The sequence below is a fragment of the Homo sapiens genome, chromosome 1 (assembly GCF_000001405.40).
Source record: "Homo sapiens chromosome 1, GRCh38.p14 Primary Assembly".
NCBI classification, from domain to species: domain Eukaryota; kingdom Metazoa; phylum Chordata; class Mammalia; order Primates; family Hominidae; genus Homo; species Homo sapiens.
The window spans coordinates 189,878,714-189,902,047 of NC_000001.11; the positions used below are offsets into that span (position 1 = coordinate 189,878,714).

Genomic DNA, 23,334 nt, shown 5'->3' on the forward strand with positions numbered 1-23,334 from the left:
TAGAATAAAAATACATACCTTCCCATATAAGTAACAGTTTTAGAAAACAAACAGAACACACCAAATGGTGAAAGAAACACAGCACATCGTATATGGTACTGAGACCAACATAATAGTCATCAATAAATATGAATGAGCATACATGGTTTTCAAAGAGAAAAATATTTTCAAGTATGCTCAGAAATGAATTAAAAATACATTGATTAAAAAACTAAAATTGTAGGCATGGAGAAATACTTGTCAGAAAAATATAAATAATAAGAAAAGCAAAATTTACCAATCCTGATACTCGATGTTAGAGATTTCACTATGAAAGTTAGACAAAAGTTAGTTAAGTTAGACACAAACAATACTTTGCAATGATAAAATTGACATTTACAGTGAAGCTACAACATGTCATTTCTGACCAGACAAGACAAGTGAACAGAAACCAAGAAAGGATATAAATGTTTATTGCAGCACTATTCACAATACCAAAGACTTGGAAACAACCCAAATGCCCATCAATGATAGATTGGACAAAGAAAATGTGGTACATATACATCATGGAATACTATGCAGTGATAAAAAAGGATGAGTTCATGTCCTTTGCAGGGACATGGATGAAGCTAGAAACCATCTTTCTCAGCAAACTAACACAGGAACAGAAAACCAAACACTGCATGTTCTCACTCATAACTGGGAGCTGAAAAATGAGAACACATGGACACAGGTAGGGGAACAACACACACTGGAGCCTATTGCAGGGTGGAGGGCTAGGGGAGGGATAGCATTAGGAGAAATACCTAATGTAGATGATGGGTTGATGGGTGCAGCAAACTACTATGGCACACGTATACCTATGTAACAAACCTGCACATTCTGCATATGTATCCCAGAACTTAAAGTATAGTAATTTAAAAAAAGATGTAAATAAAACCATGAAGTAAATACTTGGAAATACATCAAATACTATACTATATCATAGGGAACATATCTTCTTCTAGAAAACATGTAGAATGATTCCCTAAATTGATCATATCATAGAGCAAAAAGTAATAAAAAGTTTCCATAAAATACACATTTACAAACAAAACAATGCAATGAAACGAGAAATGAAAAAATAAAACCTTTTAATTTTTAACCTTTTAATAATTTAAAAATATTTCATTAACGAATTTTTTTTGGTAAAATAGGAAACAAAAACAGTAGTTACAGAGTTTCTAAAAATTAATGATAATAAAAACAAGATATCAAATTTATGGGGTATATTTAAACTAATGCTGAGAGGGAAATTTCTGCTGCTAAAAGTATGTATCAATAAAAATGACACAAGCAATTGGTTTTTAAATTTTTCAGCTAATGTATTCCTAGTTTGAAATTTTCATTTTTAAGCATCTTATTTTTCTGTTGAGATTCCTCATCCCCCTCTTTGGTGCAGTTGTGCTTTTCATGGTTTCAGTCACCTGTGTTCTAGGCACATTCAGAAAATATTAAATGGGAATTTTCAGAAATAATTCATAACTTCTGAGTAGTGTGATGAAATCTCATGCCTTCTGACTCTGTCCTGCCTGACATGTGAACCGTTCCTTTGTCCAGTGTATACATGCTGTCTATTCTCCCTGCCCATTAGTCGGTCTGTAACCATCTCCGTTATCAGATCACCTGTCACAATATAGCAGTGCTTTTGCTCAGCTAATCCTTATTTTACTTAATAATGACTCCAATGCACAAGAGTAGTAATGCTGGCAATTTGACTAAAGATAAGCCATAAAGTACATCCTTTAAGTGAAAAAAAAGTGAATCAATAAAGAAAATAAATTGTATGCTGAGGTTGCTAAGATCTGTGGTAAAAATGAATCGTCTATTCACAGAATTGTAAAGAAGATAAAATAAATCTGTGCTAGTTTTGTCAGCACAGCTCAAACTGCAAAAGTTACCCCACAGACATTCACCTCAATTCATCTTATTATTTAGGCATTTTATCAGCTCACATCATCACAAGAAGAAGGATGAGTAGAGTACAATAAGATTTTGAGAGAGAAAGTGACCACATTCACATAACTTTTATTAGAGTGTAATGTTATAATTGTTCTATTTTATTATTAGTTATTGTTGTTAATCTCTTACTGTGTTTAATTTATAAATTAAACTATATGTAGGTATGTGTGTATAGGAGCTATACACACTATACTATAAATTAAACTATATGTAGGTATGTGTGTATAGGTATGTGTGTAAATGTAGTATTTAGGGTTCAGTGCTATTTGTGGTTTCAGGCATCCACTGTGGGTCCTGGAATATATACTCCCTGGATAAGGGAGGTCTACTGTAGCTAACTCCAGAATAGAGGACAGTGTAAGCCCATAAAAGACCCAGAGAGACCAAAACTAGAAATATACATGAGCGGCACAGATAACTACCATATAAATGAGGAGGCACAATGGGGACAACATTCTGGAGACTAGGCTGGGCACGGTGGCTAAGGCCTGTAATCCCAGCACTTTGGGAGGCCAAGCCGGGTGGATAACGAGGTCAGGAGATCGAGACCATCTTGGCTAACATGGTGAAACCCCGTCTCTACTAAAAAAAAAAAAAAAATACAAAAAATTAGCCGAGCGTGGTGGCCGGCGCCTGTAGTCCCAGCTACTTGGGAGGCTGAGGCAGGAGAATGGCGTGAACCCGGGAGGTGGAGCTTGCAGTGAGCCAAGATCGCGCCACTGCACTCCAGCCTGGGCAAGAGAGTGAGACTCCATCTCAAAAAAAAAAAAAAAAAAATTCTGGAGACTATTTTTAGTCTTATGCTCAGGATTTCTTACAGATAATGTTTAAACGTTTGATTTAATAATAATTTATAATCAATATTGTACATTTAATCTCTAAATGATAGCAAATTAACACCAAACCATTTCATTTGGCTTAATTTGGTTTCATTACTTCAAGGAAACTCAAATATGTATATTATATCCATATTTAAATTATAATTAAATAATATTAAAGTTTTTGTGTTTTGCTTTTTCAAACACAGATAAGTGGACAGGTAATCAAAGCCCAAATATAGGTGCATACTTAATATGTCATATAAAGAATAAATGCCAATGAATCTGGACTAGGATGAGCAAAGAAAAGCAAGGTAGAAATTGATTCCAGGGATCTAATAAGGGACAAGGATATGAAATATGTTATAGGCCATTATAAAGACCTCAGGATTTTCTGTGGGTGAAATGGAGGCCACTACAAGATTTTAAATAGAGGTGTAACATTCTTCTTTGACTTTTAAAAAGATTCATTCTAGCTACATTGTAGATAAAAACTTTAGGAGTGATATGGTTTGGCTGTGTCCCCACACAAACCCCACATGTCATGGGAGGGACTCAGTGGGAGGCAATTAAATCATGGGGGCAGGTCTTTTCCATGCTGTTCTCATGATAGTGAATAAGTCTCAGGAGATCTGATGGTTTTATAAAGAAGACTTCGCCTGCACACATCCTCTTGCCTGCTGCCATGTAAAATGTCCCTTTCGCTTCCTTCATCTTCTACCATGATTGTGAGGGCTCCCTAGCCATGTGGAACTGTGAGTCCATTAAACCTCTTTCCTTTATAAATTACCCAGTCTCGGGTATGTCTGTATTAGTGGCATGAGAGCAGACTCATACAAGGAGTAACACTATAACTAGTGTGAACAATTAGGATCTTATTGTAATAGTCTAGGTCAGATAATATGGTGGTTTGGTCCATAAGAATTATGGGGATGCTGTCGAACTGCAGCTTCTGTTTTAGATGGTCTGGAGAAGGGTCTGAAATTCCATATTTCCAATGAGCTTTCAGGGAAAGTAAATGCTACTGGTCCATGGAACACTTTGAATAGCAAAGATATAAGCAACGAGTGATTGGATAGCATGTTACTTGTAAGTGAACATATTCTACTATAGGACTATTTTAGAAATTTTTTCATTAAAAATGTTTGTATTACACTGCATTCAATAAACATAATCTACATATCATTTCCTTGGATTTTCTTAAAATTTATTTGATGTCCCCGTACATGATATGATCAGGTATAATAAATATTCCATGTATATTAAAGAAAAAAATGTGTATGCTCTTATATGTGTGGTAATTTTGTTTCATCCTTTTGTTTACAACTTTCCAGTGCTTTGGTTTTAAGTATTGCTTTTATATAAGATATTACTGGCTGGACTTTTTTAAAAAAAATTATTCTTAATTGTAATTTTGTTTGGATTTGTAATTTATCTTACCCATACTCATTAAAATTATTAATGTATCAGAAGGTATCCTGCAATATTATTTCATATATACATATAATATACAACTTTTCCTTTTTTTTTTTTTGAATCAGGGTCTCACTTTGTTGCCCAGGCTGGAGTGCAGTGGCATGATCTTGGCTCACTGCAACATCTGCCACCCAGGTTCAAGTGATTGTCAAGCCTCAGCCACCCAAGTAGGTGGGTGGGACTATAGGAACATGTCACCACGCCCGACTAATTTTTGTAGGTTTTGTAGAGACAAGGTTTCTATGTGTTGCCCAAACTCGTCTCCAACTCCTGAGCTCAAGCTTCCCAAAGTGTTGGGATTACAGGTGTGAGCCACTGCACCAGCCCACAACTTTACATTTTTTTCTTCGCTTACATGGTTACTTTCTTTAGATATATTCATTTCTCTTCTGCTTGTTTGAAAGTGTGCCATTTCATTTTTATTCTTAGCAGTTACACTACCTTTTTAAAACCTAAATGTAAAATATTTTTCTAATGACATCTAATGTTACCAACCAAGAAAACGACCATGCATGTTATCATGTTAAACTATCATTCAATTATACTGTCTCATAGCTTTTCACTTCTCAGGAAACTCTCACATCCTATGAGCTCATTCTATAGTACTAGATTTTATGTTGATATTTTATTTTTAATGTTTGCTAATTTAGGCAAATATAAAGTTTAATAATCTATTTTTATGAACTATTTCAAGCTTTCAATATATTATAAAGAGTAATATAATAAAAATGATAAACCAACTATAAACACTTTCAAATATTAAATTGTGTCATTTTATAAATATTTTTAGAGTTGTAAAGCATTTTATACATACAGTTAAAAAGTGTTATATACCTTTCTCCAATTGTATTACTTTCCCCCATGCAAGAAGGAAGAAACTGAAGAATTGGATGCTTAACATTTTCACAGATGTCTTCCAAATCGTGTTCTGTGTTTACATATCTAAAATACCACATGATAGAATTCAGCATTTTAGGATTTTGTGCTTCTCCATCCACAGCCTTGTTTTGTTTTTTGTTTTTTGTTTTTTTCACTCAGCGCTATAATTTTGAGATTTAAGTATATTGGCACAGTATAATAGTGCTGCTAAGTGTTACCTTATAAAATTTAAATTTAGTAAATTAATTTTATTTTTATGTTATTTTTCTCACATTTTCAGTTCTAGTTTTTATGTCTTTAAACATCATTAAAGCCTTTTTTCTGCTATTTCAATTATCACAATTTCTTAAAATTTAATCCTGCTTTTTGTGTGATTCTCACAGTGGGACATTTAACGTATTTTGTTATTGTGGAAATGTAAGCACATTGTCAGTAGGATTTTTATTAAAAAAACGTTTGAATCAGTGTTCTAGAACAGGCAAACTAATTGTATGATGAAAGAAATAAGGACATTGATTCCTAGGTGATGAGTGATAGGTGTTGAAATTGAGAATATTCACAAGAAACCTCCTGTCAAGAGGGAGAGGATCTATATCTTGAATGGATGTGAATTACATACTGCAAAATTTTCCCAAGTTCAGATAACAGAAAGAATTAGCAGACTCCACAGAATATACTTTCCTAAGTGTTTTATTTAAAAGCAAGGGATACAGTGAAGCAAGAGAAAGAGAATGGAGGAAATATCGGTCTCTTAGAGACATATCATGCACAAGCTCCCCAGCGTCCTTACTCCCACAGTGGCTATTTTATGTCTCTGAATTAAACCACCAAGATTTCTGTAGAAATATTGTATCCAAAAGAGTTCAAAGCAGTACATCCCAATGCAGTTAGCCATATACAGAACAATAAAACTAGACCCCTACCTTTCACCATCAACAAAAATTAACTTAAGGTGGGCTAACGATTTAAGTGTAAGATCTCAAAATTGTTCAATTCTAGAAGAAAATCTAAAAATACCATTCTGAAAATTAGCTAAGAATTCATGAAAAAGTCTTCAGAAGCAGTTGCAACAAAACCCAAAATTGACAAGTAGCATCAAATTAAAGAGCTTCTGCAAAGCAAAAGAAGCTATCAACAGAGAAAACAGAAAACCTACAGAATGAGAGAAAATATTTGCAAATTATGCATCTGACAAAGGTTTCATATTCAGAATCTATAAAGAACTTTAAAAATCCAACAAGCAAATAAATAACCCCATCAAAAAGTGGGCAAAGGACATGAATAGACAGTTTTTGAGACATAAAATCGGCCAACAAACATGAAAAATGTCCAACATCACTAAGAATCAGAGAAATGCATATCAAAACTGAAATGATACTACCTCACATCAGTAAGAATGACTATTATTAAAAGGTCAAAAAATAACAGATACTGGTGAGGCTTCAGAGAAAAAGGAACACTTATACACTGTTGGTGGAATTGTAAATTGGTTCAGCCACTGTGTAAAGTAGTCTGGGGATTTCTTAAAGAACTTAAAACAGAATTACCATTCAACATAGCAATTCCTATTACTGAGTATACACCCAAAAGAAAATAAATCATTTTATTAAAAAGATACAAGCATTTCTATGTTCATCACAACACTATTCATAATAGCAAAGACATGGCATCAACCCTGGTGCCATCAATGGTGGACTGGATGAAGAAAATGGGGTACATATATGCCATACAAAACTATCAGTCCATAAGAAGGAACAAAATCATGTCCTTTGCAGCAAAATGGATGCAGCTGGAGGCCATTATTCGAAGCACAGTAATGCAGGTAAAGAAAACCTAATACCACATATTTTCACTTATAAGTAGGATCTAAACATTGCGTACTCATCAACATAAAGATGGCAACAGTAGACACTGGTGATTACTAGAGGAGGAAAGTAAAAGAGGAGAAATGACTGAAAAACTATCTATTGGGTTCTATACTCATTACTTGGGCAATGCGATCATTTGTAACCCAAAACTCAGCATCGCACAATATATCCATGTGACAAACCTACATAGGTACCCCCTGAATCTAAAATAAAAGTGGAAATTATTTGTAATAAAAGAATATCCTAATGTAATTCTTGTATTCCTTTAACTATATAATCATATCAGACAAGCTTAGCTATTTGTTCTAGTTGTATATCATTCATAAAGAAAATGGCCTTGGAAGGTCAATAGAAGTATTTTGGACTGTAGACAGCACTATAAATTCTACTGCTCTTATCTTGACCAGTAATTAAAAACCAAACATCTGGCCATCTCTGGAGCTAATGATAGAACTTTTCCAATACAACTTTAATTTAATTCCATCTTGCACACATGGATTGTGCAGATTTTTCAAAAAATAGTGAATAATGCAAATAAGTTCTATATATTTTACTGTATGTAAATTTTACTCAATTAAAATATACCAAAAAAGCCTTTATATATTAACAGCTCTGTGAGACAAGAGAAGAAATCCATCTAAAAATGTTGGAAGGTTCAAATTCAGATACTCCACGAAAAGAAATTAGTAAAGGGATGTGCTTATTAATATAATAGAGGAGAAAATGCCTAACCGGTTTCACACAGAGATAAAAAATGAGATTTATGAGCTTTGAAGTTGAATGAAAAAAATATTCTTCTATAAGAATTCTTCATCAAGAAACTGCCTTCAAATTAGCTTGGCATTTGGTTACATTCTTCTTGAATATTTCAATTCTACCAAATATTTAAAGGGGAATTAATGCAAATCTTTTCAAGCTCTTCCAAAAAATTGAAAAGTTGGAAATATTTCCCAGATCATGTTTTGAGTCTTGCATTTCCCTGATAACAAAGTCACAGACACAAGAAAATAAAATTACATGCCAATATCCCTGATGAACATAGATTAAAAAATTCTCAACAAAATACTAATAAGCCAAATTCAACAGCATATTAAGGGGATTGTACACGGTGACCAAGTTGAATTTATCTCTGGTATGCAAGAGTGGTTCAATGCATGCAAATAAATTGATATGAAACATTACATGAAGGATAAAAATCCTTCATGATCATCTGAATAGATGCAGAAAAATCATTCAACATAATTCAACATTCTTTCTTAATAATAACTCCCAAGAAAATAGGTATATAGAATGAATTTACCTCAATATAATACAATCTGCATATGACAATCCCACAGTTAATATCATACTCAATGGTGAAAAACTGAAATGTTTTTCTCTAAGATCAAGAACAAGACAAGGATGTGCATTCTTGCTACTTCTATTCATTGTAGTACTAGAAATCTTAACCAGAGGAATTAGGCAAGAAAAATAAAAAGCATCCAGATGAAAAGAAAGAACAAAATTATACTTTTGCAGATGATCCTCTTATATGTAGAAATTTCTAAAGACTTCACCAAACCTCTGTTAGAATTTTAAAAAATTGGTAAAGTTGGGAGATATAAAATCAAAACACAAAAATAAATTTTATTTGTATATACTAATAGTGAACTATTTGAAAAATAAGAAAATTTCCATTTAAAATAGTATTAAAAAGAATAAAATACTGAAGAATAAACTTAAAGAGGTGAAAGACTAGCACATTGAAGATTACAATTATTGATGGAGGGAATTAAGGGAGACACAAAGAAATGGAATGACATACCCCCCATTTCTAAGACTGTCTGAATCTCTCAGAATATTAGTCTGTAATTTTCTTCTATAATTCAGAAGGCTGTATTTTGATTTCAGGAATATTTTGTCCCCATAAAATGAGTTGGAAAGCATTCCAATGTTACACTCTTTCATAATTTCTGATAATTAGTGAAATATTGGTAATAGTTCTTCCTTCAGTTTTTTTTTAATAATTCATCAGTGAAGGCATTTGGGAATGGGTCTTTCTTTGTAAGAAGTATATTTGTGTTGTTTTTAAAAAACATAAATTATTTTTAATGGATATAGAACTAACCAGATTTCTTCTTTGTAGGTTGATTAAATTGTTTTCTTTTTTCTCAAACGGTTCATCTGTCATTGCATTTGTCAATTTAATTAGCATAAATTTATTTATTTTATTCTTGCATTATCCATTTAGTGTCTATAGGATTGCAATTGAGGTTTCCTTTTACATCCCTGTTATTGATAATTTGTGTCTTCTGTTCTTGTTATTGTTTTTCTGTTTTGTTTTTCCTCTTTATCAGACTATTTAGGGGTCTATTAAATGTATTAATCCTTTCAAAGAATCAACGTTTGTATTTGATGAAGAAGAAATAGAAGAAAATGTTGAAGATTAAACATTTAATTTCTCTATTGTCTATTTCATCTATATTATCTTATTGTTCTACATATAACTCAAACTCTTTTTTGCCTTTTTTTCTGCATATAGTTTCTGCTTCTAGTTGTTTAAGTTCACTAATATTTCCTTTCTAGTATCTAAGCTACTATTAGTTTCATACAATTAACCATTCATTTTAGAGATTAATTTCAACCATGTATTTTTATGAAAACACCAAATTTTTATATTGAGTCTTGATAATTGTTAACACGTTTTCTCGCATTACTTTTCTCCTTAAAGATTTCTTAGCTAGTTTAGACCTGAAATTACATATCAATTATAAAACCAAATTGCTAATATTTCTAAAAAGCATTAAAAATTTATTTGAATTGAATCTGTAATGCAATTTGAAAAGACTTGACAGAAATTACAACATTCTCTTCCAATCAATGTACATGGCGTTTACCTCTATTTATCCAGGTTTTTTTTAATAATTACCTTTTTCCTCTCTGTTAGAATAGTAGTCACACATATAATTTTATAAATTTCTAACATTAATTGATATGTTTACCCTGATTCAAGGATATGAGCAGACTAACTCCCTTTATCATTTTCCAGGCCTATAAGCTTCTATTTTCTTTTCACATTATATAAGATATTAATATTGCTATTTTGTGCAATAAATGCTTATTTAGATTTGTGAAAGTTCTTGCTATTTTATTTATTCTTTATTTCTTTTTGTATCTCCAATTTTCTTTTGGGATACATACACATACACACACATACACATATGCAAACACACACACACACACATATATATATATATATTTTTTTTTTTTACTTAGCTAACACTCTTCAGTATTTCCTTTAATGACTGATGGTAATTTATTGTTTTCATATGTAATTTTTGTCTTTAAAATTATATATAGTTTTAATTTTAGAATATCATGTTATTTGGTATAAATTTACAGGTGGACTTATTTTGCCAACCTGACTTTTAAATAATATTTTAAGTTATTCTATATTCTACCAACATTATCTACATTAACATTGGTAATGTAGATTATTCAGTTTTATTTATTGATCTTCCTTTGAAATATTCATTTTATTCTGACTTAAAGATTTTTTCTGTCTTTCAGCAATTTTACTACGTATGGATTTCTTTTATTTTTCCTGCTTGGATTTCATATAACACTTTCACTCTGGTTTGATATCTTTTTTAAAAAGTACACACTTTTATTTATATATTCTAATATGGCTTTTCACTTTTCTCATTCTACATCTTCAAGTAAATATATATCTAAGACAAATATATCTTTAAATGTCTCTTAAGAATTTTTCCTTCTCTATTTCTTTGGTTCATTCTAGGCACTTATTTTTCATGACCATCTTTCTGTAAAGCTGTTATTTCTTCAGCTTTGGTGGGCACTGTTATTGCAATATTCTTTCCACAAATAATTTAAGACCTAAAACTATTATATTTTTTCAGATAAAGTTTATGTTTACTTTCACCAGAGGATACGAACACTCAACTCAATCCAACTTCAGGAAATGGGACTTATCAAAAGAGACCTACTTCCTAATTCTCTCTTTTACCTACAAAAGAGCACTTTTAGATCTCAACACATAGCAATATGGTTACCTAAGTATCATCACTCCTTAATGATTCTTGGGCTCTTTTTCCTTTCTTCCTAGTCCCAAGAGCCTGAAGAGTGCCTCTAAGTCTTTCTCTAAGTGATCTTTCCAGGATTGGAAAATGTTCTTAGAAAAATGTAATCCATTTACTTGTGCCTATGACTTCTGTTGGATTCTGGACCAATAATTTTCACTGTATTATAATCTCTCTAGCACTTCCAAATTGTTATCCACAACTGTTGATTTTTAGATGTGTGGTCCAGTTTTATCTAGTTTTTCTCTGGGAGAGATTAGTTTTGGAATATCTATTCTGCTATTTCCAAAAGTGAGTGTCCTTATTTAAAATCTGTAATAAATAATGTTATTTATATTAAATTTTAAAATGTATATTTTACTAGAATGTTCATCAATTATAAAAGTGAGAATTAAGAAAAATAGATTGAATGTGCCAGAAATGATGGCTATTTTGCAAATGCAGTTGGTTGAGAATGGACATCAAAGAACATATGAGGCTCCTTGGGAAGAGGCTCAAAATGGGGAATGTCATAGATATAAAGCTGATTAGGGTGTTGATATCCATTTTATACAGCTGCAACAAAATATAACATCAAAACGGCTTGTTAAAATTGGTCACATTAAAATACTCTTTCAACAGCCTTTATTCTCTCTGTTGTTAAAATTTAAAAAGTTAATAATCATCCTTTATTCTCTGTCCAAGAGGTAATTAGTAATAAATATTGGGATAAAGTAGAACATAATATCATCTATGATTCCAAGTATATTCGTTAATAGTTATCTCTGCATTAGTCCATGACCTAACTGAACAATTGCAGTTTTCTTCCTATAGGGATTAGCCCTAATAAACTTAAAAAGGAAGTTGTAGGGAATGTAAGCTCTCTCCTTTTAAATCTCAAATATTATGAAAAGTAGAAAAAAAGACCTTGGCTCAGTGAGCCAATCCCCACCTCCCAGGATCTCCATCATATACATCACTCCTGGGTAAGAGAAAATGTCAGAGTGGAAATAAACTATAGTATTACTCTAGTGAGGCTCTCCAAGGGGGAATGTGAAAAGTAGGATAAATGTTCTTCCCTAACCTCTTTTATAATTATTTTTTTTTTCAGAAAATATTGGTTTTAGTCTGTTTCTACTACCAGACAATAAATTATTTGAATATTGTAGTAATTATTGAAAATTCTTTACCCCTTACTTCTTAAATTAATTCTTAATAGGATAAAGACATGTTTGTTGAAGTGTGGAAGGAAGGAAGAGTTTAGGGCAGATCAAAGCATAAAAGAAGAACGGAAGGAAGACAATGTTAAATTACAATATGTAAATTTTTGTAGATACTTATGATAGACTGTAGAACAACACAGAAAAAGAAATCTTGCCTTTGTAACTCACTTTCACTCACTATAACATAGATACAAAAAAAAAAAAACTAATGAAAAATTGACTGTACACCCTAACTGCTTTTTTGTTTTCTTCCTATCCCCCGTGTTATATTCTCCTTCTTTGATCATATTAATAGTGTTAATAATGCAGTCATTTGTTTTTGGACTATGGGTTGCTTAATTATGGCCATTTATCCAAGTTTTATATTAGGTATTTTGGTGGCAAGGAACAATTATACGTTTGTATTACCTTAAAAAAATAAAACCTGAGGTCACAATCATGGTTCTGATATTAAGGCTTGGATGTTTCAATATCTCTGTCTCACTGTCTCTCTCGTATCTACCAGCAACATTTCCAACAATGCTCTGCTAATCCCCTCACCCTCTTTATCCTCGTGATCTTATTTGGACTGTCTGTTATTTTGTGCCAAGCCACATCACAGAAGACTGACTGGATAGTTCTTCTTAGGTTAATTGTCCACTAGTGGACCAATCAAACCAGAATTATGTGGGTTTTCTGTTACTATGACATCATTAATGTCCAAATATTTAATATATCTTTTATACAATAAACTAATGGGACTAAGATCTCAACATTTATTAGATAGCAGACAATTTCTCTCAAGTCCAAAAAGCACAGACAAAAGAATCAATTAATAATATAATGCAATAAAAATATAAACAGTTCCTCAGGATTATAATGCAAATGTAACAAGAATCCTAAGGATATTTTACATATTTGAAACTGAATAATAGAAGGGCCTATAAAACATTGGCATAGAGAAAGTAAATTGTTTTAGATAACTTTGTATAGCTGAAAAGTGTTTGAGGAATCTTTCCAAATGTACTGATTAGTGAAATTACAACTGAAATATTCTGTATGAAATAGATAATAAGCTTAAGGGCAAAGTTGTTCCTAATTGAAAAACTTGCCCTTAAGAGAAATGTAATACTTAATTAAGGAGAACAAAAGTAGCACACAATTCTTAATATTTCTAGAAAACTATAAAGAAAGGTTATTGTGCTTTAAAGGTACACTAAAGGAAAAAAATTAACTCATAGGAACTACTATGCTTATATTCCTCTATTTTAAAATGTGAATAAAACAACATAGAAGTTTAGAGTGATTGACTTACAAACTAATGTATCTCAAAATATTTTTTTTTGTTTTTATGCTTTTGCTTTCATTTATTGTTGCTTACAAATGATTACTAACAATGCCGGCCATTTGATTTTGCTATATTAGTTGTTTCTGATGATTATATTGTATGTTAGATTGGCATAAAAGTAATTGAGGTTTTTGCATTACTTTTAATGGCAAAACCACAATTACTTTTGCACCAACCTAATAATTGATACACATTAAGATAATCATATAATTCCACATATTTTGTATGTTATTTTACAGGTTGTCTTAGAACATCTTCAAAAGTGCTCAATTAAAGTAAATTATGGTAGAAAAGTGGTCATAGATCTTTCTTTCTTTCTTTGAGAACTTCTCTCTCTGTTGCCCAGGCTGGAGTGCAGTGGCGTGATCATGGCTCACTACAACTTCTGCCTGCCCGGTTCAAGCAATTCGTATGCCTCAGCCTCCTGAGTAGCTGGGATTACAGGTGTGTGCCAGCACCCCCAGATAATTTGTGTGTTTTTATTAGAGATGGTGTTACGCCATGTTGGCCAGGCCAGTCTAGAACTCCTGGCCTCAAGCAATCTGCCTGCCTCGGCCTCCCAAAATGTTGGGTTGGAGGCATAAGCCACCTTTTCTGGCCAATCATAGATCTTTATTAGGTAAGATCTTTATTGCCTAAGGAAAAAAAAATTGACACAACATACAGATTATCTAATAATTGCAACCCAGATATTGAATCCTATATCTGCATTTATATTATTTATTATAAATGTCTTTAAATGTGAAACCAATGCACATCAGTAGCTGAAAATTATTTTGTTCTTAATATTGCATACGTTTACAATTAATTAGGAAGAAAAAAATCAAGCACAGGAAAAAGTTTCACTATGCATGATAATAATGCCCATAGGCACACTACAGAAAACCGTATAATGTTAGTCAACATTTTATTTTTCTTTAATTTGGAAGTTTCTTAGAGCTAAATACATAAGTGTGCTCAAATGTTGGTACAAACTAATGCAAATACTACTTTTGATGAAAATTCTTCATAATTTATTAAAGCTGGTCTTTCAGAATGGTAAATATTATAGCCTCTGAAAATTATTCCCAGGCACTAGCGTGCATAAAACTATCATCAGTGTTATGAACAGGGTTGTTTAACAAATTAAAAGTTTGAGAGAACACAGTCAAATGTTCTACCTTTATAATTTTTTACATTTTTCATGTCGGATTGTGTTCTTTTGAAATTCGTAATAAGCAAAAAGTACTTCTGGATTCTCTTAAGAATCTTGGAAGAGCTTACATGAGATGCCAGAGTCTCAAAAAAAAAAAAAAAGAAAAAAAAATTTAAACTAATCTCTAAAATAAAAATTTAAATATTGTATTCTTCACGGCTAGGGAGCCCAAGTGGCATAACCAAAGCAGCTTATATTTTACTTGCAAAATTTTCTTATTTGCTTAAAAATTAGTGTATGATATTTTACCCGATATTTCAAACATAGATCAGACTGGCTCTCTCAAAGGAGAACATGAAATTTTTGAACTGTTAACAAAACTATGATCATAAAATTCAGAGTGCTAAGTGTTTCTTTGCTTATGATTGTATAAATATTTATGAGCTATTGTACATGTAACTATTCAAAAATAATTTCACATTTGAATACACTAAGCAAATGCTTCTTTCCTTGTTCTCAAAGTATGAATAATCTTATATAACAATGTATTTTTATGTAAATAATATGTTATAAATGTCAATATCTTCAGGGTGAATTATGTTCTTTATTATAGCTAAATTTTAAATTTTAATAAAAGAAAATCATCAAAGAAAAGGCTAAGAGAAATATTTCATACTTTTGTGTATTTTACCAAATTATTTTTACTTGGTTTATACTATAGAGTTAAATATTTCTTTTGTAAAGGAAGAAATAAGCAGTAAGAAGAAAATTGTGTTACTGTATTGTAAACAATCACCTCCATACAAATTAATTGTTCACTCCTCCTTTTTATCAAAATCACTGTTTATGGCATAATATGTAGTATTAAAATATGAGCAACTCAAAACTAGTATAAAATTGTTGAAATCATTTTAATTTACAGTGTAGAATCTGTCTTTCAGAATGAACTAGTGTTAAGTAAATTGATGTTGCCTAGACTAGATTCCAGCAAGTTTATAGAGAATACACGTGAATGAAAGTTTTAGCACACTTGGCCAAGAGGGTGAGTAGGATTGAATCTAGCCTCCCCTTTGCCAAGTCCAGCACTCTGGGAGGGCTGTGACCACACAAATGGGACTTCCTTTTAAAATTTACAAAAAAAAAAGCTGTGTGAGCTGGGGGCATCTTTTTGTGAAACAGAGTTTAAGTAAAAAGAAAATTGCTTTCAATTAAACTGGGCTATGCAAGGGAATGGATGCAAAATATATCATGCTGTCTACTAAAATATACTAAGTAAATATTTAATGTAAAAAGATAGTGGTAGGGGAACTAATGATGAGACTGTGTCTAAAAGAAAGATGATGTGCCTCTAGTCTAGGTATGAAAGGTGGGAGCATACCTAGATTACCTAAATACCTTGGCAGGGCATGAGGCAGTAAGTTGACTAAAGACAGAATTCATCTGTCAATCAAATGCCTATTTTGAAGGGAGGATAAAGGAAATAAAGATATTTTACAGGAATTAGTGTTCATTAGAAAAAAAGGAATTTTATATTATTCTGGATTTGATGATTAATGGATCTTTAAACACATTTTAATTTAATAAAATATTTTTTCATAGGAATTAGTGTATATTGTGCAATGCATCACATATAAATGGAAAAATGATTGTCTTTTCTATGAAATAAAATGCCAATCATTAAATCATATCTAGATTTCCTACGACTTAAAAAAATAGCCTTTTATTTATGTTAATCTTTGGGATTCTTGTCATACATTGTTAATAATATCATTTAGTTTATCAAAGTAAATAAAATACTTTATTACAAAGTAAAGAATTTTATTAAAGAACGGATAGAGGAATCTTTGATCATTCTTCTTAAAATCAATTCTATATTTCAATGACATTTTCTGTAAAGATATTTGCATAACATTGTTTAATTTTCAATTTTATTTTATTTTATTATTATTTTTTGAGACAGGGTTTTGCTCTCTTGCCCAAGTTGGAGTGCAGTGGTGCTATCTTGGTTCACTGCAACCTCTGCCTCCCTGGCCCAAGCGGTTCTTGTGCCTCAGCCTTCTGAGTACCTGAGCGTACAGGTGGCCGTCACCACTCCTGAATAATTTTTTTATTTTTAATAGAGATGGGGTTTCACCATGTTGGCCAGGCTGGTCTTGAACTCCTGACCGCAAGAGATCCACCTGTCTCGGCCTCCCAAAGTACTGGGATTACAGGCGTGAGCCACTGCACCTGGCCTAATTTTCAGTATTAGATGTGTTCTAGTAATATTTTAGTACCTTGAATAAATTAACTAATAGATATTTCCTTTTCCACAATATATATCTTTGATTAAGTTACCACTTACTATTGTAATTTGTCTTTATAATAAATCCCTAGTGTCTTAATTATTATTTTCTGTTGTTCTTCTAATTAAAACATCAAAAAATAATATATGAGACAGATAACTTGATTCTCTAAGATTATTTAAATACAATTTTCTCAATTTTTATTGATAATTACTCAGAAATATGCCTTCCTTTAATTTTGGAGTATACAATTATTGATTTGGCCAAAAATTAGTCAGAATTGTCCACTAATCGTACAACATTCTGTGCATATGAAAAAAAATCTTGTCAGAAAACACATGGTTTTTGTTAAAAGACCATATTATTTCTGATATATATTATTATATTTTAAAAGAAGGTCCATCACATTTTTATATTCAGAAGGTTTTTAATACATTACATAAAGCAATACACTGTCAGAAATGACAAGAAGAAAACAATAAAATACTGAACACTCTCAAGTGGATTTTGCAGATAACCATTTTTACTCTCCAACTTACGTGTGTGTGTGTTTTATTTTCCCATGGACACTGTAAAAAATTAGAAATGTAGTAAGGCAAAAAAATAATTCCTCAGTCAAAGAGAAACCAAAACACTTTAATGAAAATACTAAAATGAAACAAGTATGGGGAGTAGAATAAGGTAAAAATACTAACAATAACCAAACAAAGAAGAAAAATTCATCTATGTGAAAATATTGATATGTACTTTTCTAAAGAATTCAGGCCAAAGATCAATCATCCAAGGGATGTTTGCACCCCCATGTTTATTGCAGCATGCTTCACAATAGCCAAGATTTGGAAGCAATCTAAGTGTCCATCAACAGAAAAATGGATAAAGAAAACGTGATACATATACACAATGGAGTACTATTCAGCCATAAAACACATAATGAAATCCTGTCATTTGCAAAAACATGGATGGAATTGGAGGTCATAATGTTAAGTGAAATAAGCCAGGCACAAAAAGATAAACTTTTTCTAAATTATTTGTGAAAGCCAAAAATTAAAATAATTGAACTCATGGAAATTTTGGGTATTGTAGAATGATGATTATCAGATATTGAGAAGGGTGGTGTGGGTGGGACAGGAAAGTCGGGATGGTTAATAGATACAAAAATATAGTTAGGTAGAATGATAAGAGCTGGTACTTGATAGCACAACAAGGTAACTACAGTCAACAATATATTGTACATTTTTAAATGACTAAAAGATTATAATTGGATTGTTTTAATGCCAAGAAAGGATACATGCTTGAGGTGATACATTTGCCCTGATGTGATTTCAACACGTTGTATGCCTGTATCAAAATATTTCATGTATCCCATAAATATATACACCTGCTGTGCACCCACAAATATAAAATAAATAATAAAATAATAAATGCATAATGAAAACATATGGAATTATCTGTACCACCCAAACTATGATGATGACTAATATCATATGTATATTCTCCTCCATCCACTGCTGGTAATAATGGAAAATGGTGTAACCTGTTAGGAAAACTATGTTTTCTAAACATGTAAACAGATGTATAGCAAATCACTCAGCCATTCTACTTTTAAAATTTACTCTACAGGAGAGAAAGCTGGTGAGAGTTCTTACCTTCAAGTCATTTCCAGCCCAGGAGCTAGATACATAAATAAAGAAACACCCTTTCCAGGCCAAATTCTTGAGTCACCACCAGCCTTCAAACTTTCTGAGCTGAGTATCCAGGCATTATGGAGTATAAATAATTATTCTTGCTGACTTCTGTCTGAATTCTTGATCCACAGAATCTGTGAGCATGATACAATATTGTTTTAAGCCACTGAGTTTTAGGGTAGTTTGTATTTAGTAACATTTTAACAACTCTGTAATGTAGTGGCTATTTTAATTCCAGTATTTATAATAGGTTTTCTTTTAGGATCTACAGTATTTAAAAATAATAATACTCAAGATTCGGATTTAAATATAGGCAGAAACTTTTGGATCCCCAGATGTTTGCAACTCTTTAAGCATGTGGATAAGCATGATTAGCAATGGTAGGAATTATTTTCATAAAGTCTGGGACTGTGAAAATAATGGAAAAGTCTGTTCCACTATGTGAGAACAGCTGCTGGCTTTAAAGAGTTAGGGTTGCACATATTTAATAGCAAAACTAATAATGACTTATTCAAAATACATTATTGCTTTGTTTTTTCTTTCCAGTGACAGGTGCAAAACAAATATGTCTTCATTTAGAATTCAGAGATTAAATAGGGTATTGAATATGCTGTCTAGAACTATTTTAGATAAAAGTGCTGCTTTTTAATGCACCACAGATAACAAAATAGAAATACAGAGTTTGAGGATATTCATAGGGAAAAATTCCATTTCCAAATATATTTTCTTTTTTTTTAGACAGAGTCTCGTTCTGTTTCCCAGGCTGGAGTGCAGTGGTGCGATCTTGGCTCACTGCAACCTCTGCCTCCCAGGTTCAAGTGATTCTTCTGCCTTAGCCTCCCGAGTAGCTGGGACTACAGGCACATGTCACCATGCCTGTCTAATTTTTGTATTTTTAGTAGAGATGGGGTTTCACTGTGTTGGTCAGGCTGGTCTCAAACTCCTAACCTCGTGATCCTCCCGCCTCGGTCTCCCAAAGTGCTGGGATTACAGGCGTGAGCCACTGGGGCTGGCCGATTTTACAGCTTTTCATAAATTATGGTGGCATAACGGTGGCTTAGTTAATGGTTGATTATATTACAAAATTGAATAGGTTTGACACTGTATTAACACATTAAGTAGCATCTGCCATATACTTTTATCAACAATCAAACAGTACATTAGTAAACCAGACCATTCATAAAAAAAAAAAAAACATAGCTTGTAACTTACTTCTTAATTGATGTAAAGACCAAAATATAGAATTTATACAGCCACAAAAATGTATATTCCTTTTTCTTTGGTCAACATGTTTTATTTTCATTAAAGCTTGAATATATACTTTATTCTCAAGAATTGGTTCCAAATATTTTTTACTCTATCAGAATTCAAATTCAGGGTCAACATATAATCCTTTGAAAATATTGAGAATTATTAAAAATAATTTAAAAAGCATATTATTTTAAACTTCAAACTTATCTTAAACATTAATAAGAATACTTACATAAGGGCTTCTAAAGGAAGCAATTTTGAAGAGGAAGACTTACAGTACGTTTTAACAAAAGCAGTGATGTTAACTTAAGCTAAACATTATTTTTGGTATTTGAATTTCAGTTTACATTTCTATGTTGTAAAACCTCGAAAATATTACTATAATAATTAAAGAACTACAATCTTTGCTATTTACCCTGCTTCACATTGATTTCAACAAAGATATCTAACAGATCAATGAGCTAAATCACATCAAATATGGCACATGACTCAGCCTCACAGGAAGAGAATTAGAATTAATATAGTACTATCCAAGCTGGCAATGGAGATGGCCTCAGCATCAATGCTGGTAGTAACGGTCTCATCAGTATCATTTGGGTAAACATGCCAGTTATACTACCAGTCCTTTTTACTGTACTAAGTAATAGATAACTTACAATACAATTATATGCCTGAGAAACCTCATAAAATTACTTTTAAGATTTAGGAGATAATGATATAATATTGGTTTTTTGGAGGGGTTATCTTTTGAATCAAACAAAAATACAGAAAAAGAAGAGTTTAGTATTATTATGACTATGTTGATAATACGAGTTTTTGTTTTTCTTTTCAAACAAAAATCACAAAAGAATTTCTAAGAAGATTTTTTTTCTTGCTACCACTTTTCAGAAAACAATACAGAAAGAGAAGCCAAATAATGCCCTTCAAACTGAGGTTTATTTGATGTTGTAAACCCTGACACTCCTTTTGAATTAAATGTATAATAATGTCTTGGTATTTAATGTTATTTTACTTTTCCTTTCTTTCTCATCTGTTTTTAAGTAGGTTTTCAGACTAGCATTCAAAGCCAATTGAACAAGAAGATGAAAGTTTACAGAGATATAGAGGGAAGGAAAGAAAAGCTTTGTTGACTGCAGTTATAGAAGACAACAGATTGAAACAACTAGTCAAACAGAACTAAAGAAAAGAGAAACAATCAGCCTGGAGTTGAAAGGAGAGACAGTAATCTTGAGAATATATGACTACCATTATAATGGCTCAAAGTTTGACTATCAAGTGTTTAAAAATGAATTTAATATGGTCATGTTTAGAAGTTTTAGGACAGGAAGGAGAGGGTTTTTAAAAATTGTTTCTGATATCATAGTATATTCTCAAATATTCAGAGGGACAAAGCTCTCTCCTCTTCCCTCCTGCTGTTTGCCTTCAGGCTATTTCACTGCTCATTAGCACCTTCACCAGAGAGTGGGCCAGGAAATAAAAGAGCTGAAACAGGAGTCAGTCAATTGCAGTTCTCATTAGGGGCTCTGGCAAAAATCTACGGATGGGTGGAGTCTGAATCTAATAGCTAAAGAGAGATGTGGGGATTATCCATGGTATTCTCTTGTCCAAATCATTCTGCTCCCTGAATATCAGAGATAATTGCATGTTGACTGTATTATAATACATTTCCATAGCAATTACTGACATGTTTGCAGAAGGGAAACAAAGCAAGAGGGTAATGTAATTATCTAGGTCAGTGGTTCTCAAACTTGAGCTTCCATCAGAATTACCTGCAGAGCTTTTTTTTTCAAGGCAGATTATTGGGCTCCACCCATAGAGTTTCTGATTGAATAGGTGTGCGTTAGTGCCCAAGAATATGAATTTCTAACAAGTTTCTTGGTGATTCTGCTGCTGCTGATCCAAGGACTATATTTCAAAGACCAGTGATCTACATAATTCAGAAAACGTTACACAGTTGCTAACAAGCAATATAATTGACTGATTTTAATTTTGCCTTCTCATAGGATTTATGAATCATTATGTGACTTCTTGCAAGAATTCTGGCAGCTATACCATCATTTTTGGACTTATCCTGAATTATACATACAAAAAGAACACTGAGTTGCCATTCAACTTCTACAATCACATCCTAAAATATATTGGCAAAACATGCAATATTTAGATATTTGCTTTCATTTTCATTCTATTGGGACATATTGTTTTCAATCTCAAACTGCTAATTTACCAATTAAGTCTCTTGAAGGAATATTTTCTCTTTTTTTGTTTTAAATTATCAAAGTAGCATATGATACTTAAATAAGAAATGCACAGAAGTGTGAAGAAAAATGTAAAAGTCTCCTCTTCCACAAACTGCATCTTCTTACTCTGGAGACATGTCAATATATACTACTACTCATATGGAAACATACATTCAAAAATATAATAGCATATATTGATTTTTAGTCAATTATACATGATTATTATGTATTATGAATATTATGTAATCTTATAGAAATTATATTTTATAAATGTTAACATTCTGTTGTGGATATAGCAAACTGTCTATTGCCCCCTTTATTCATTCTCTATTTTTTAATATACCTGTAAGAGTTTAGCTTTTCTTGTGGCTACCCAGAGTAGATTTTATTTTTTTAATTCTGATTTGCGGTTTGTCATGGTCATATGACAAATTCTGAACAATTGGAAGGCATTCTAAGTGTTTATAAAATTTCCCAGAACTATCTTTAGAACACTGAAAAATTACCTGTATCAGAATAATCTGGAAGGCTTGTTGAAACAAAGTAATAGGCCCCAACCCCGGAGTTTCTGATTCAAAAAGCCTGGGTTGAGGACTGAATATTTACATTTTAGACAAGTAACCAGATGATGCTGACTTAATGGTTCAAAGGCTGTGAGAGCCAGTGACTTAGAGGAAGAAGATGTATACTTCTCTTTCCCTTTGCTTTTCCTAATATCTATAATGCAGATGTTACTGTGTAAGCACAAGCAGCCATTGTGCTACATGTGATGAAACCCACATTTTGAGGATGGCAGAACAGTAAGATCTCTTGGTTATGGGACTTCAGTACTACTTGTGCATTCTCTGCCTTTAGGTAGGAGAAGTATTTGTTGTGTTCTCTCTCATTTGCAGTCAAAGTTACATAGATTGCATGGACTTTGGTTAATGTAAATACACATAAATCTAATATATTTCATTGCTTAATATTATTTTATAGATACATAATTTTTATGATCATTTTATTTCCTTTTTAATTAACAAATAATTGTATATATTCATAGGGTACAATGGAATTTATTTTTAAATGTATTATTGCTTTATAGAGAGAGGCCTTTTTTTTCTAATTACAGA

At 31.9% G+C, this 23,334-nt stretch overlaps 1 annotated feature.

Annotated features, from left to right (window-relative positions):
* Positions 20,828 to 21,752: an enhancer, noted in NCBI's record as "NANOG hESC enhancer chr1:189868671-189869595 (GRCh37/hg19 assembly coordinates)". NCBI's record gives its function as "activates a minimal SCP1, AML or CMV promoter by ChIP-STARR-seq in naive H9 embryonic stem cells {active_cell/tissue: H9 hESC(naive)}" and the evidence as "EXISTENCE:reporter gene assay evidence [ECO:0000049][PMID:30033119]".